This window comes from Homo sapiens, chromosome X (assembly GCF_000001405.40).
Source record: "Homo sapiens chromosome X, GRCh38.p14 Primary Assembly".
Classification (NCBI taxonomy): Eukaryota; Metazoa; Chordata; class Mammalia; order Primates; family Hominidae; genus Homo; species Homo sapiens.
In genome coordinates this window covers 20,501,126-20,516,942 of record NC_000023.11, presented here as the reverse complement: position 1 = coordinate 20,516,942, position 15,817 = coordinate 20,501,126, and the positions used below count along the sequence as shown (strand labels likewise).

General features: G+C 36.5%; 2 annotated features.

Annotated features, from left to right (window-relative positions):
• Nucleotides 441-590: a silencer, noted in NCBI's record as "silent region_20698". NCBI's record gives its function as "represses an Ori minimal core promoter by ATAC-STARR-seq in GM12878 lymphoblastoid cells {active_cell/tissue: GM12878}" and the evidence as "EXISTENCE:reporter gene assay evidence [ECO:0000049][PMID:35858748]".
• Nucleotides 1,808-3,007: an enhancer, noted in NCBI's record as "P300/CBP strongly-dependent group 1 enhancer chrX:20532054-20533253 (GRCh37/hg19 assembly coordinates)". NCBI's record gives its function as "activates an origin of replication core promoter dependent on BRD2, BRD4, P300/CBP, MED14 and CDK7 cofactors, with strong dependence on P300/CBP, by STARR-seq in HCT116 cells {active_cell/tissue: HCT116}" and the evidence as "EXISTENCE:reporter gene assay evidence [ECO:0000049][PMID:35650434]".

The window sequence follows — 15,817 nt, the reverse complement described above, 5'->3', positions numbered from 1 at the left end:
GTTTTTTTTTTTTTTTGGTATATATAAAATTCTAATTGCCATCAGAAGCAAGGTAGCTATATAATTGCCAAAGCCAAAACAATATGTTTCTGAAGATACTTTAATTAGAGTTTGCTTCACATTTTATCTTCTTATGAAATTGAAAATACCAACCACAAAAACTCTGTGGAGAGAGCTTTCTCTGCATTTTGTTGCGTGCTTCAGTAAAGATTCTTGTATATCAGAATTGTAGATTCAATACCAAGAAACATAAACTTGTATTGTTAATTTGGGTGACCATGAGGGACACTGACTTAGTTCAACTAGGAAAAGATCATTAAAAATACTTCAAAGATTTTTATTATCCTGGGTTTCTGATTAAACAAATTATCTATAGAAAAGCCACTGCAGTTAATTTACTGGTTGGAACTTGCATGAAGTTAGGGATTTCAAGATAAACCCATCTCTGGACAAGTAAGCTACTTTCTTTTGTATTACCTAGTGTGTGAGGGTGGGAAGGGAGGGAATGCCATATGAAACCAGCTTCCTCATTGCTCTCTTATGAGTCACATTTACTTGAACACAGCTAATTTTAGTTTCAACCACTGTGACCCTCCTAGAAGTAGTAAGAACCAAATGAGTAAGCATTTGGAGGAAGTGAGTACCTTGCAACCAATGTCATCCAGAGCTCATTATTTTAACATCAACAAAGCCCTCCTCTATAATCAAATTGCCCACATTCTCAGAAATTGTATTTGTGATAAAGTGCATGATCAGCTTGAATTTTTCACCCCTCCCTGTATTACACCCTTTGTTATGTGACTTTGGAGTTTCCTCCATAAAGGCAGAGTGTATTTTGCCACTCCTTGTCTTTGAGCTAAGTTGTGTCACTTCCTTTGGTCAAACGAATGTGGTCAAAAGTGTCAGGGTGCCAGTGTGAAGTTTGCCTGCTTCTTCTTGCCATCCTGTGGCTCTGCCATCTTCTAGGAACATGCCTGGGGTGCAACCCATGAAGCTGAGCCTCCCCAGCAGAGCCCAGCCTAGATCAGCCCATCCCAGCCAACCATAGACTTGTGAGCAATAATAAGTCATTGCTGTTTTAAACCACCAACATTTGAGGTGGTTTGTGATGCAGCAGTAGTTAACTCTCATAATACTGCAACAAGTTATTGACCTGAGCTTTTCTGGGCCAGTGATCTGTAAATACATATAATTCATGGCTGGTCTAGTTTCTATAACGGAAAAGATATTATACAACTATTTTCTCAAGGATAGATTATTTATGTTGCATCAAAAAAATAATTTACCAACTACCTGTTGTGGGCTGGATGCTCTACTGGGTGCTGGTACAGGGGATGGAATATGAAGAAGTCCCGAAAGTCCCAGACATTTGTACATGGCCTTTAGAAACTGAAAAACTTGAACCATGACTGCAAAGACCATTCAAACTAGAGGCTGTAAAAACTTTCTCTTTTCAGAGTTCAGTTTCTTAAAGCCAGGTATTGTAATATCTTGATCTTTATTTGAATCCTGAATCCAGTATAGCAAGCACTCTCTCTTGCCTGATTCAGTAGAGGTTCAGGATGTTCCTCTTGTCTCAATTTTCTATGAAGGTGACTGGTTTAACCTAGGTGTATGACCCAAGGAGGAATGGCAAATTCTCATCAGCCAAGAGCCTCTCAATATGAATAGATGTTAGAGAGAGGTTGGCCTGGTATAGAGTCAGATGATGAGCTAGCAGTAGAACTTGGGGGTGTTCACCATTAAAATAGGCAGAAAGGGAGATCACTGTAGAGAACAGGGCCACTGGGCAGAGGTAGGATGGACTAGAGTATGATAATGAGGAGATCAAGGGGAAAGGAAGATGAAAGGTGGAATTTCAAGCTGGGATCTGAGGCAACAACTGGAATCATTATCAGAGGACCTGTATATTAGTTTGAGTGCTTGTTTGGATGGTTTTTAGCACCAGGTGGGGTTTATCACCTAGTTGGGACTTTCAGCTATGGTGTCTTGGGTGCTCTTTGTTCTGTAATTCTCTGTCTGCAATATCAAGAACCAGGACCATCTAGGGAGGAGAAGACTATTCCTCTAGGTCTGAAGTTGTATTTTTCTCTGCCCAAGGACTCTGATACATTCTGTAGTCATCATGGAAGCCTCATTCAGGGAGAGTTGAGTCCATTGGAAGTTCAGTCCTCTGAGAACCAGAGACATTGTGTGGCAGGTCCCTCTCCTGGGTCCTGGGACTTAGATCCTAGCCCCTGGGCTTGTGCTATGTCACAGCCTTGGCCTCTCTGCCTCCTCCTCATCAACCCACTCAGGGCATTCTGACCCATCCAAACATAAGCAGAAGATGACTCATCAGTGGGCTGCCTATGAATCATGGCTTGGTCCCAATGTGGAAAGGCAGAGTGAATGTAGAGCTGGAAAATTAATGTGAATCAGGATGCATTTGGTGTTGACATTTATATCTTAGTGTAATTTGACTCAATGTTAATCCTCTTTCGAGTTTAATAATGACAGCAGGACATTCAAAGTCACTGTGATTGATGACTTCATTCCTGATTCAGATTCAGCCTGAATGTCCATCATGTTTGGTATTAAACCTCAATTTCAAATTAGCTGCTGGTCCCAATTAATGACTAACTGAACAGATGAGATTCCACAAGTCTTGATGCCAAAAAACTTCAAAATCAGTGCTATCGACCATTTTCTTTTAGAGAGAGAAACAGATCTTCTCATGAGATCAGCCTTCAGAACTGTTGTTAGTTTTAACATATTGACAGTTCTGATTGGTCTCTTTTGTTCTGTTGGTTTGTTGGCTACTTAACCTATTTCTCAACTTGTTCCACAAACAAAACAATAGTTTTAACCTCTGAACAACAAACAACTAAGTAGGCATTTCTTTAAAACAATTTGTTCGAACTCTTTTTGTATTGTGTACCTTCATGAGGATCAGAAGTCATGTCATCATCACCTCATAGTTTATATTTTTAACACATCATGTGTCAAATGATGGTCTAAGTTATTTATTTTGTTGAATTCTCCCAGAAACCCTATTATCATCCCTGTTTTTCAGATGAAGAAGTTTAGTCAGCATTTCAGAGAGCTCTAGTAACTCACCAACAATAATATAGTTATTGAGTCATGGAAGTCACATTTTTAATCCAAGCAAGCTAACTCCAAAGTCTCTGCTCTTAACTTTTATGCTACTAACTTCACCAAATGCAAAAGTCCATATTACCAAGTCTCACTTTCTAGTCAACATTTGAAAATGATATTTAGTACAGGAATAACTTAAAGATAGGCTTTCTTTTAGATTCATTCTAGGAGAGTAAGAATGCTTTACAATACCCTTGAATCAACTTAATTGTTTTCCCCAATATTGATCCTATTGTCACCATTTACTACGACTTGTATCATAACTGCAGTACCTTCAATTTTTATCTTGGTGAATTGAGATTCCTGGGCTAATACTACAACTTAAAAGGCAGGATTTTCCCGTTTTATAAACAATCTTCAACTTTTCTTTCCTAATCTGTCTGCCTTGTGGTTATGTCTAGCAGCCATCAATTAACAGAAATGTCAGTAAGACAAGCTTACCAAAGTGGGGTGGGGGAAGGGGAACCAAAATGAAGAATGTTATGCCAGGAAATACTTTAATGTAGGTGGAGCTCTGCCAACTTGTATTATTATAAGAAAACAAAGAAACTTTATTAATCCAACAGGCATTACACTTTGACTTTTATTTTGATTTTATTTTTGAGCACGCAGTTGAATTCTTTGCACACAGATTTTCCTTATTTTTGTAAGCTACTTGCTTCAAATAAAAGGAAGACTATTTTGGTGGCAAGATATGTATGTCTTTCAATTTGTATTCTTTCATTCTTCTCGAATATCTACAAAATTCTCTTATCTATGGTGTTTGAGAAGCAAAAATGCTACTGAAGCAGAACCAATCCAGTACCATACTTCCTTTGGTTAGGCAAAATTTATTGCAGAAGGAATTGTAATGTTTGCTTCCTAAACTGCCCCAGGAGCAACTAAATCTCCTGAAGTAATTATAAATAATGGACAATTTCATGCATAATTTGCTCCATTATTAGGATTTATTACCAAAAACTAAAAAAAAAAATACAAAAAGAAAGCTCTAAGCAATAACAGTTCACTCATTGAGGGTGCAGACTGACTCTGAATAGCGCAAAAGATGCAGACGACAGAAACTCTAGGCCTAGCACATTTAACCTTTCATGGCCCCTCTCTTCCTCGCCCCAGACTGTCTCCACCCTCCCTCAGCAGGTGCCCACAGGCAGATTGATTGAGTTAATTGAGTGACCACCTGAATATCTAAAGAGAAAAAAGTTACATCCAGTTTACTTATGCACTTTCCTCATCAATTTTTCTCTGCAAGAAAGAATAGCATGTAGAAAGATATATACATTGCCACACTTTAAACACACCCTTAAAATTTTTATTTGCGGTAAATTCAGATCTTGTGTACCTATCTCTCTCATGAAAAATTGCAAACTAAATCTCATCTAAGAAAAAAAAATAAGAGATTGGTTGTTCTAACATTTTATTATAGAAATTTTCCATCTTGCACACAATTGAGAAAATAGTGTAATGAACCCTCCTATACCCATCACTCTGCTTTAACTATCAACGTTTCTATAATCTTGATAATATTTGATAATCTTGGTAATATTTGATAATCTATTCCCCTACTTTTCTGTTATTTCTCACCTGGCACCCAGCTCTTAAATGCACTATTTTTTTTAAATAATTCCTAGACATGTCATTCCAATAAATACTTAAGTGTGTATCTCTAACTGGTAAGGATTATTTTTATATAACAATTACACCATTATCGCACCCGATAAAATCAACAATAACTCCTTAATAGCTTATAATGTTTACTTCATGTTCAAAATTTCTCCATTGTCTCAAAGGAGAAATAATTTGGTCCGATGACTCAGCAGGAAACAGTATTCTCAGAATAATTCGAGGAGCGTTTATGTATAAAGAGACTATTTACAAAAGCATGGGTGGGATGTGGGGGAATCACAGAGAATAGTGCAGTGACACTTGGCTAGTGACAACAGAGCTGTTACCACCCCTAGATGTGAAGGAGTCAGAAGGAGCAGATCAAGGTTGCTGAAACTGGAAGGAAAGAGTCTACAGAGAAGGCCTCCTCCAGAAGAACAGTGTCTTTCCATTGAGGTATCCAGCCAGCCAAAGTGATCACACAGGGAGGAAGCCAGGGGAATCAATACTCAGAGAATCCTCTCTCGCCTCTCTTTCTGATTTCCTGCTGGGGCTTCCCATTGGCCAAATTCAACCAAAAGCCAGAGGGCAAGAAAGCCTGAAGGCACAGTCCATACTGGTCAGCTTCTCAGACTAGGGAGAAGTGTAGAGAGAAAACCTAGAGGAGAAAAAAGAAGATATCTGGCATAGGATCCAACAAGACCTACACATTGCATTTGGTTATTGTGTTTCTTAAGGCTCTTTTATTCTTTAACAGCCCCCACCTTCCTTTCATTTATTTAATATGTCATTAACGGAGAAACCAGGTTTTTTGGCCTTGTCTCACATTTGAGATTTGGCTGATTGCTTCCTTTCAGTGTCATATAAATCGTTCCTTTATCTCCTGTATAATTTCTATACAACAGTGGTTTGTGTATTGCATTATGTTATTTATTATTTCTATCAGGCTACTTCATATAAATTACTGGCTATACTTAGACACTTGATTAGATGTAGGTTCAATGTTTTTTAGGAAAGAAGACTTCCTAGGTGATGCTGGAGCATCCAATTTCATCCCTTTGTGAGATGTGTAATTTCTGATTGCCCACTTGTGAAGATTCTAAGATTGAATTTAGCTTAATTCCTCCATTATGGACTTCACTGACCTTTCACTAACCTTGACTACACATTAGAATCACCTGTGCAGATTTTAAAAAATCACAGCACCATGGCCACATTTATCACTTAAATCAGAATCACTGGGGTAAGATATGGGCATTAGCATTTTTTAAAACCCCCAGCTGATTCCAATGAGCAGCCAATATTGGTAACCTCAGACCTAATGATTTTAATATCTACTGATTTTTGGGTTTTTTTAGGTCTACTATTTCATTAGAATGTGTAAATTGATACTTTTTAGTTCTGTCATTCCTTCTGCATTTATTAGCTACGAAACAGTGCCAATCACGAGCTTGCACTCAATAAAGAGGTATCAGTTGATTTGATCTGAAGTTCATGTTTAATGAGTATTTTCCATTAAAAAAGTTTTGTGGAATTTCTATTAAAAAGATTTAAGTGTCTACAAATTATTTAGATAGCATTTTATAATATCTATCAAATTGATGTTCATTTTTACAGATGATAGCTCTCTGGATCACATCTAAAATTAAAATTTCCCTCATAACATCCCCCCTCTAAATTCTCAACTGTAAGTGTGTTGTGTTAACTATGATATATGTTGAATATTTCAGTCCCTCACACACTAAGACCACATGATGTAAAATACATAATAAGGTTTTCTGGAGGGGAAAACTTACACGAGAGAAGTAGAGAGTGCACACAATCCGTCACTCTCAAAGAGAGGTGTACTTAAGCCAGGCATGGCTGGGCTAGACACACAGGGTTCCAAGAGAGAGATGTTATCTCCCATTATACCCGACATATTTGTAGAAAATGGGGAATAAGGGATTCTTAGGAACTATGTAACAATAAAAGGTTGATGTTTGAGGAAGTGGCCCAGTTAGAAAGAAAGAGCTTCTGGAACTTAGTAACTGGCACCTGTTGAGTTAACACAGACCTGCTGGGCTAGCTCTCTGCTAAACTACCAAAAGGGTGAAGTGGGCTTTTGGTGCCTTCCAGATTTGTCTCTTTTCACTAGCATACATATGTAAGATTACACTCACTGAGTACTTATTAGGTGCCAGGCAGTTCAATCAACAATGCTATGATCTTCCCTAATCAACCACACTTAGAAACTTTTAATCCTTTGATTAAAAGTTCTTTTTCCTCCAAGATCCACTTGGTGGCTCATCTTTGGTAATGCCCATTCATTTGATGTGCATTCATGTATTCATCTGTTACTTCATTCACTTAATCATTCAGTAACAGTTACGTAGTAGAACTTTTTTGAGGCGTGATACAGGCTCCAGTTATGACCAAGGCATAGCACAAGTAGGTTATAATCTGAAAGATGAAATGAGACAAACTTAATATACATAATATCAAAAAGTCCCTTCCTCTGTCCTTTCTTTTCATCCTCCCCTAGCCTAGTCCATGCTTCATTCTCCTCCCTCTTCAGCTAGCCCTCCTGCCTTTGTTTTCTTCTTTTCCAAACCATGCTGCACACCCTTTTCAAATTACTTTCTCCAAGATACTGCTTTGCACTCTGTTCACAAACTCCAAATGGCTCCTTTTTGCCTGCTAAATGAAATCCAAGCTTTTAAATTTAGTTCAGCATTCAAACCCCTTCCAGACCTGTTTGCTACCAACTTCTACCTCTCTCTTAAATTCCTCCCTTTGAACCCTTCTCCCCAAGTGAGTTTGTCTGCCAAATCATCTGGGCTCATGACTTCCCCTCTATCTCTCTAAGTCTTTGAGCTGGACATAGTCTGCACCTATGTCTCAGTACTCCTACACTCCGAACCCATGAGCTTTCCCGACCTGTCCCATCCTGCCTTTGAACTGCTAAAGTACTTATTTTATTTATTTTTATTGTATATATTTAAGATATACAACATGATGTTTTGATACACATATACACAGTGAAATGATGGCTACATAAATTTTTTAAATCTTGTAATCACTAAAGTACTCATTAATGGTACCTCTCATTTTATCATCATTATATCCCATCTTATATTTCTAATAACCTTTTCATGCCTCACCTCCCCTACTAGAGTATAAGCTCCTTGAGATCAGGAAGTGTCTTATACTTTGTTTTCTCAATACTTTAGCAGTGCTTCGCAGACAGCAGGTGTTCAATAAAAGGGCGTTGATGAAGATGAGAATATTGGGAAACTCTTGGAATATGGTAGTGGTTGAAGCATTATACCAAGAAGGATATGGTTTTTCAATCACGTTTCAACTGGTTATTTTTCTCTCATCATCAAACTAGCCAAGTCTCTTTCTCCCTTCTCTCTCTCTCTCTTTCTCCCTCTCTCCCTCTCCCCCCACCATCTCTCTCTTCCTTTCTCCCTCTCTCTGTCTCTTTTTCTCTCTCTCATTCCCTTCACAGCCAGACTTCCTAAATGAGTATTTGCTGCCTCCACGATTTTACCTCCCATTCACTTCCTCAACCCACTACCATCTGGCATCTTCTACCACTAAACCAAAAATCTGCTGGCAGAGGTCACCTAGCACCTCATAGATGCCAACTCAGATGGACACTTTCCAGTTCTTTTTGCATCTCATCTCCATAGCATTTGATGTTGTTTCCTCCTACCTCATTCAGGAAACTGTCCTTTACTTTGGGTTTTTAGACCACAGCTTTTTGCTACCTCTCTCTATTCCTTCTCTAGTTCCGTCATGGGCTTCTCTTTTGCCAACCATCCCTTGAATGTTATTACAGAACAGGTTTCATCCTTGGCTGTCTTAATTTTGGTTCTCCCAGAAGCAGGCCCTGGGACAAAGATTTACATGCAAATTATTTGCTGGAAAGATGATCCCAGTAGGAGGATGGGGAAGTAAGATTGGGAAGGGAAGGCAGCCAATAAAAGGTGTGATATCATGCCAGTTACCACTGTGGGCAACTGGAGCATAGTCCCACTGCAGAACACAAGCCTCAGAATTATCTTGCTTGTGGATCAAGAGAGCTGAAGTATTTATCCACCAATCCATTAGTCATTGGTCAAAGGCTGCTCCTGGAAGTGGAATAGAGCTACATTAATTACCTGATACATCTAGCCTGCCCTCAGGCAAAGAGTCACACACCAATGACTGGAAGTTGGGCTGATGTGCATAGAATGTTACAACAACCCCTGTTCTCTCCTCAACTTAATCATTATCCCTGGGTTACTCTCATCAACGGTAATAAAATTAACAATGACAATAGCTAACATTTATGTACTAGGTCAAGTGTTTTACCGATATTAGCTCATTTAATCCCTACAACAGCCCTCAAGGTACCATTATCATTCCTATTTTATTGAGGAGGAAACTGGGAATCAGAGGGGCTAAACTAGCTGAAGTTGTAGCACTAGTGACTTTAGCTAACATATATATGCTGATGTCTCTGCACTTACAACCCATATTGTACCTCTAAGTTCTAGACCAGTCTGTCCATTTGCCAACTGGGTGTCCTTCCAAGCTTTCTACTGGCATCTTAGATGCAACATGTTCAAAATGAACCTATCAGAAGGTCTGAAGAAACCTTGATACATTATGATTATCTCTTTTCCTTTTTGACAGCTTTTTTGGGTCGTCACTTTAAGAATAATTTTTATTTGGAAATTATTTTTTCTGGTAATAAGAGAAACTCATAAGGATTTTGGAAAATATGGAAAAGTATAAAGATTACAGTCACATTCTCCATAATTCCACCATGCAGAATTGACACTGTGGGCATCTCCTTTTGCCTAATTGTCAACATATTTTTAAGATGTTTGAGAAAATACTGTGTGTATATGTGCATGCATATGTACATGCATATATATGAGTGTGTACAATTTTGCATCTTGCTTTTAACATTATAAGCATTTCCCCATGTCATTAAAAAACTTTATAAATCCATTTTAAAAGCTAGATAATGGTCCTGACATGTGGATTACCAAAATTCGCTTTAACCCTTCCCTTGTTATCGAACATTTGTATTGCTTCCTTTCTTTACTCCTATAACAGATGTTGAAGTCAATAGCTCTATATCTAACTCTTTATCTGCTTCTTAGATTCTTTACAGAAGAGGAATCCCTTTTGGAAAGGACAATAACATTTTAAGGTTTTAATGTATCTTGCTTTCCAGAAAGGCTGTACCAATTCACACTCATACCAAGAGAATGCAATACTGTCATCCACCACACCCCTGCTAGCAATGAGTATTTTCATCCTTTTAGAAACTTGTTAAATCTATAAGAGAAATTGCACTTGTCAGTTCCATTTTCATTATCTTGATTTCCAGTGAGAGTAAATTTTTTTTCACCTATTTGTTGAGCATTTATCTTTCCTATTTGTAAACAACTATTCACACAACTTACTGGTTCTTGTGGTATTTCTTGCTATTGTATTTAAAAATTACTGGCAGGTCTTTATTATATTTGTGGAAAAAATTCCCATCTTGCCATTTGTCCTTTCCATTTCTCATAATTTTTGACACACAACAGTTTAAATGCCTTATGAAGTCAAATCTAACTTTTCTCTCATTGAGATTATTTCTGTTACATTTGAGCTTTGAAAGTATTTTCCTACCCTGAGACCAGGTAAATATTCACCTATCTTTTCTTCTAGTGTCTTATGATTTGTATTTCTGCATTACATTCTTTTTAATCCAGTAAAGTATGACATGAAACTGATTTCCTCACTCCCCCAATTGCAGTCCCTGTTGGCCAATTTTTTTTTTTTTTTTTTTTTTTTTTTTTTTTTGAGACGGAGTCTCGCTCTGTCGCCCAGGCCGGACTGCGGACTGCAGTGGCGCAATCTCGGCTCACTGCAAGCTCCGCTTCCCGGGTTCACGCCATTCTCCTGCCTCAGCCTCCCGAGTAGCTGGGACTACAGGCGCCCGCCACCGCGCCCGGCTAATTTTTTGTATTTTTAGTAGAGACGGGGTTTCACCTTGTTAGCCAGGATGGTCTCGATCTCCTGACCTCATGATCCACCCGTCTCGGCCTCCCAAAGTGCTGGGATTACAGGCGTGAGCCACCGCGCCCGGCCCCAATTTTTATTTAGTGAGTTATTGTCTCCATTGTTATATATCTCCTTTTCTAATGGATCACAATGTTTTAATTATTGCAGCTTTGTTAACATCTGTCGAAGTAACAGTACCCTAATTCTTTTTTATCCCAATATTTTCTTATCTATTTTCATCTATTTACTATTCCATATGAACTTTAGAATCATTGTATCAAGTTACAAAAAATAATTCCAATGTATATATTGTAATTACATAAAATTTAAATATTAGGGAAGAATGAACATATCATGGTCTCTCAATTTATTGGTCTCTTGTTTTCCATCTCACGCAGATCTCTAAACTTTTCTTATTAAGATTATGTTAGTATTTATGTTCTTGTTCCTATTTCAAATTGGTTCTTTTGATCCGTAATCTGTTCTATCTGGTTATTTCTGTTATAGAGTAAATCTACTTATTTTTGTACTTTTTTTTACGCAGCCACTACTCTGAAATCTCATTAATTTTAACAATTTTTGTTGATTCTTTTCTTCCTTTCTTTCATATCTGTTTCTATTCCAGCCCTTCTGTTTTTGTTGTTTGGGAGTTTTGTTTGAGTTTTGGTTTTCCAGAACTTCTAAAACAATGTTAAATAATAATTATTTTGGTGTATCACAATTAATTGTCTATTTACTACCATTTTGAGATTAATACTGTTATTATTACTATGCCAGTTTTTCTTTCCTTTTATAAAACTACTTATAGTTTTATAAAGATGGCTATTTATAGGTTTATAGAGATGGCTATTGAATTATCAACTTCCTTTCAGCATCTATTACAGTAATCATGTGGTTTTTCTTATTTGTCATCCTGATATGATACATTATATTAATATATTTGCTAATATTATATTATTCTTATATCCCTGGGATGATGCCACTTGGTGAGTTATTCTTTTAATATTCTATTAAATTTGATTTGATACTATATTATTTTATTGCATTATATTCATACTGAGATTAGACCATAATTTTTGTTTTTGAGTTTTTTGTCAGGTTTTAGTATCACTTTAATGCTAACTTCATAAAATAAGTTTGACGATAAAAGTGAATGGGAAGTTTTATTCTGTTCTTGAACAGTTCATATGGCATGAAAATTATATGTTTCTTACTAGAAAGAAAGAACTCACCAGTAAAACCATATGGCATGTATAAATTTTTGTTATAATTATGAATATAGGCAACCTGAATTGACAGGCCGTTTAGGAAGAAATTATTAATATTAACAATTAATAGTATATTGTATTAGGGTTGTGCTGTATTTATTTCTAAAGTACTCTTATATCTGTTATCTCTAGTCATTCAAAAACATTTATGAAAAATGCCTTCATGAGCCAGATACCATGGTTGATGTTACAGAAAAAAAAGATGAATTGATGTAGTCCTTGATTTTAAGGCATTCTTTAGCTAATTAAGATAGACATGTCAATCAATAAGCCTAGTGAAATGGTACAACTACTTTAATAGAGGTATGTTCACCCACATTATCCTCAGTCTACGTATACTGGTATCATTACACTCATTATACTGGTGAGGTAACGTTCCAGGTCAGTGGATCCATATTTGCACACCTCTAATAACCAAAAATTCAGTGTCTCCTGAGGAAAACATATTTACCTTTAGACCACTCTAGTAGTTGGAGTGTTATCTCTTCTGTCTTCTGGTAGCTTCTCTCAAACCATGATTCTAGCCCTCAGAGTCTACAATAAGTCTAATTTCTTTTATGTGGGATAGTTCTTCATATTTCTGAAGACAGTTATAACCATACCCCCCCAACACCATAAGTTCTTTATACCAAAAAAAATATCTTCAGTTCTTTCAACCTGTCTTCATATAACACAGTCCTGAATAACCACCATCTTGGCCTCTTTTATTTGTAGGTAGTTCAGTTTATGTTGTTTTAGAATTCCACTCAGTACTCTACATACACTTCAACAAAAACTGGGTAGAGAAGAAATATTACTTTTTTCATATATATATATAACATTTATTAATGCAGTCCCAAATAAGCATGGTTTCTTTGGTGGTATGACTGTCAACTAACATTGAAGCTATTACTCACTGAAAAAATATCAAGTTTTTTACACATATGGTTCTAAGTCATATTTCCTTCATCCTGAACTTGGTCAGTTGTTTCTTCATACTTACACCCAATGCTTCCCATTTATCCTTGTTGAATTTAATTTTAGTAGTTAAAAGCATTAATCATTTAAACTTTTTCTGGATCCTGAATCTGCTAATGATTAGCTAACACTTCCAGCTTCACAGAATATACAAATTTTATTATCTTGGTCCTACTGACATGATAAGCATATGAAATACAAGAACACTAAAAAGCCAGGTGAATTTCAACAAAGATGCCAAGAACACACGATGGGGAAAGGACAGTCTCTTCAATAAATGGCTTTGGGAAAACTGGATATCCATATGCAGGAGAATAAAATTGGACCCTTGTCTCACACCATATACAAAAATCAACTCAGAATAGATTAAAGTCTTATATGTAAAACCTGTAACTATAAAACTATTAGAAGTTGAGGAAAAGCTCTATATTGGTCTTGGCAATGATTTTTTGGATATGACCCCAAAAGTACAAACAACAAAAGTAAAAATAGACAAATGGGATTACATCAAACTAACAAGCTTCTGTGCAAAGGAAATTATCAACAGAATGAAGAGACAACCTACAGAATGGGAGAAAACATTTGCCAGCCATACATCTGATACGTGGTTAATATCCAAGATATATAAGGAGCTCAAACAACTCAATAGCAAGAAAACAAATAACACAATTAAAAAATGGGCAAAGGATCTGAACAGACATTTTTCAAAAGAAAACATACAAATAACCAACAGTTACATAAAAAATGCTCAATGTCATTAATCATCAGAGAAATGCAAATTAAAACCACAGTGAGAGATGTCACCTCACACCTGTTGTGGAATCAAAAGACAAAATTATCAAAAAGACGAAAGACCACAAGATTTGATGGGGATGTGGAGAAAAGGAAACCCTTGCACACTATTGATGGGAATGTAAATTAGTACAATCTTTGTGGAAAACAGTATAGAGATTCCTCAAAAAATTAAAAATAGAACTACCAGCAGTAGTTCCAGCTACTGGAACTACTGGATCCAGTTCTTTTGACCTGCCTGGAGATCCAGCAGTCCTACCTCAGGAATTGAAGGAAATGAATGCCAAGGAAATGAAATCAGTATTTCAAAGAAATGCCTGCACTCCCGTGTTTATTGCAGCACTATTCACAATAGCCAAGATATGGAATCAAATAAGGATTCATCAACGAATGAATGGATAAAGAAAATGTAGTGTATATATACAAAATGAAATACCATTCAGCCTTTTAAAAGAAGGAAATCCTGTCATTCTCAACAACATGGATGAACCTGGAGGACCGTATGTTAAATGAAATAAGCCAGTCACAGAAAGACAAATACCGCATAATCTCACTCATATGTGGAATCTAAAAAGTGAAACTCCCAGAAGCAGAAAGTAGAAAAGTGGTTACCAGGGTCTGGGGAGGTGATGGGGAAGAGGATTTGGGAGATGTTGGTCAACAATTACAAAATTTAAGTTAATGGAGATCATTATGTTAAGTGAAATAAGCCAGGCACAGAAAGACAAACATCGCATATTCTCACTTATTTGTGGGATCTAAAAATCAAATCAGTTGAACTCATGGACATGGAAAGTAGAAGGACAGTTACCAGTGGCTGGGAAGGGTACTGGGTGGGCTGAGGGGAGGTGGGATGATTAATGGGTACAAAAAACAGTAAGAATAAGACCTACTATTCGATAGCACAATGGGTGACTACAGTCAATAACTTCATTGTGCATTTTAAAATAACTTGAAGAGTGTAATTGGATTGTTTGTAACTCAAAGCATAAATGCTTGAGGGAATGGATACCCCATTCTCCATGATGTTATTATTACACATTGCATGTCTGTATCAAAACATTTCATGTACCGAGTAAATACATACACCTACTATGTACCCCCAAAAATTAAAAATTAAAAAATTTTAAAAAAAGTCCTGAATAAAGCCTTCCTCACTGTTTTAAAAAATTTCAGTTAAATAAGAAGAATAAGTTCATGAGATGTATCGTACATCATGATGACTATAGTTAATAACAGTGTATTGTATTCTTGAAAAATGCTGAGAGTAGTTTTAAGTGTTCTCACCACAAAAATGACAACTATGTGAGGTAATGCACATGTTAATTAGCTGGACTTAGCCATTGCCACAATGTGCATATATTTTAAAACATCCTGTTGTACCCAAGAAATATATACAATCTTATCTGTTAATTTTTAAAAATTTTAAATTAAGACGAATACTGAGGACAGAGGCTGTAACATATCACCAGAAACCTCTTATCAGGTTGGCATTGATCCATTAATTAGCACCCTCTGAGTACAGCCACAAACAAAGTTACTTTATTATGATATTATATATATATAGTGTGTGTGTGTTATTACATATCATATATACATATCATTTATATATAAAATTCTTGCACTTGGTTCACATATTTCTATCTTGTTCACAGTTGCATATGAGACCCTGCTAAATGCCTTTGGCATTCACATCATTGCCAACTAAGAGAAATTAAAACATACATCTACACAAAATTTGCACATGAATGTTCACAGCAGCTTTTTTCATAATACCTCCAAAATGGAAAACAACCTCCAGTGTCTATCAACAGGTGAATATATAAACAAAATATGTAGCCACACAGTGAAATTTGACTCACAATAAAAGTAACACCCAACAGCATTGATGAATTTCAAAAACAATATGGTGAGTGATAGAAGCCAGATACAAAAATTTACATACTGTACCATCTTGTTTATATGAAATTCTAGAAAACTGAAACTAATCTAGAGTGACAGAAAGCAGATTGCTGCTTGCCTAGGCC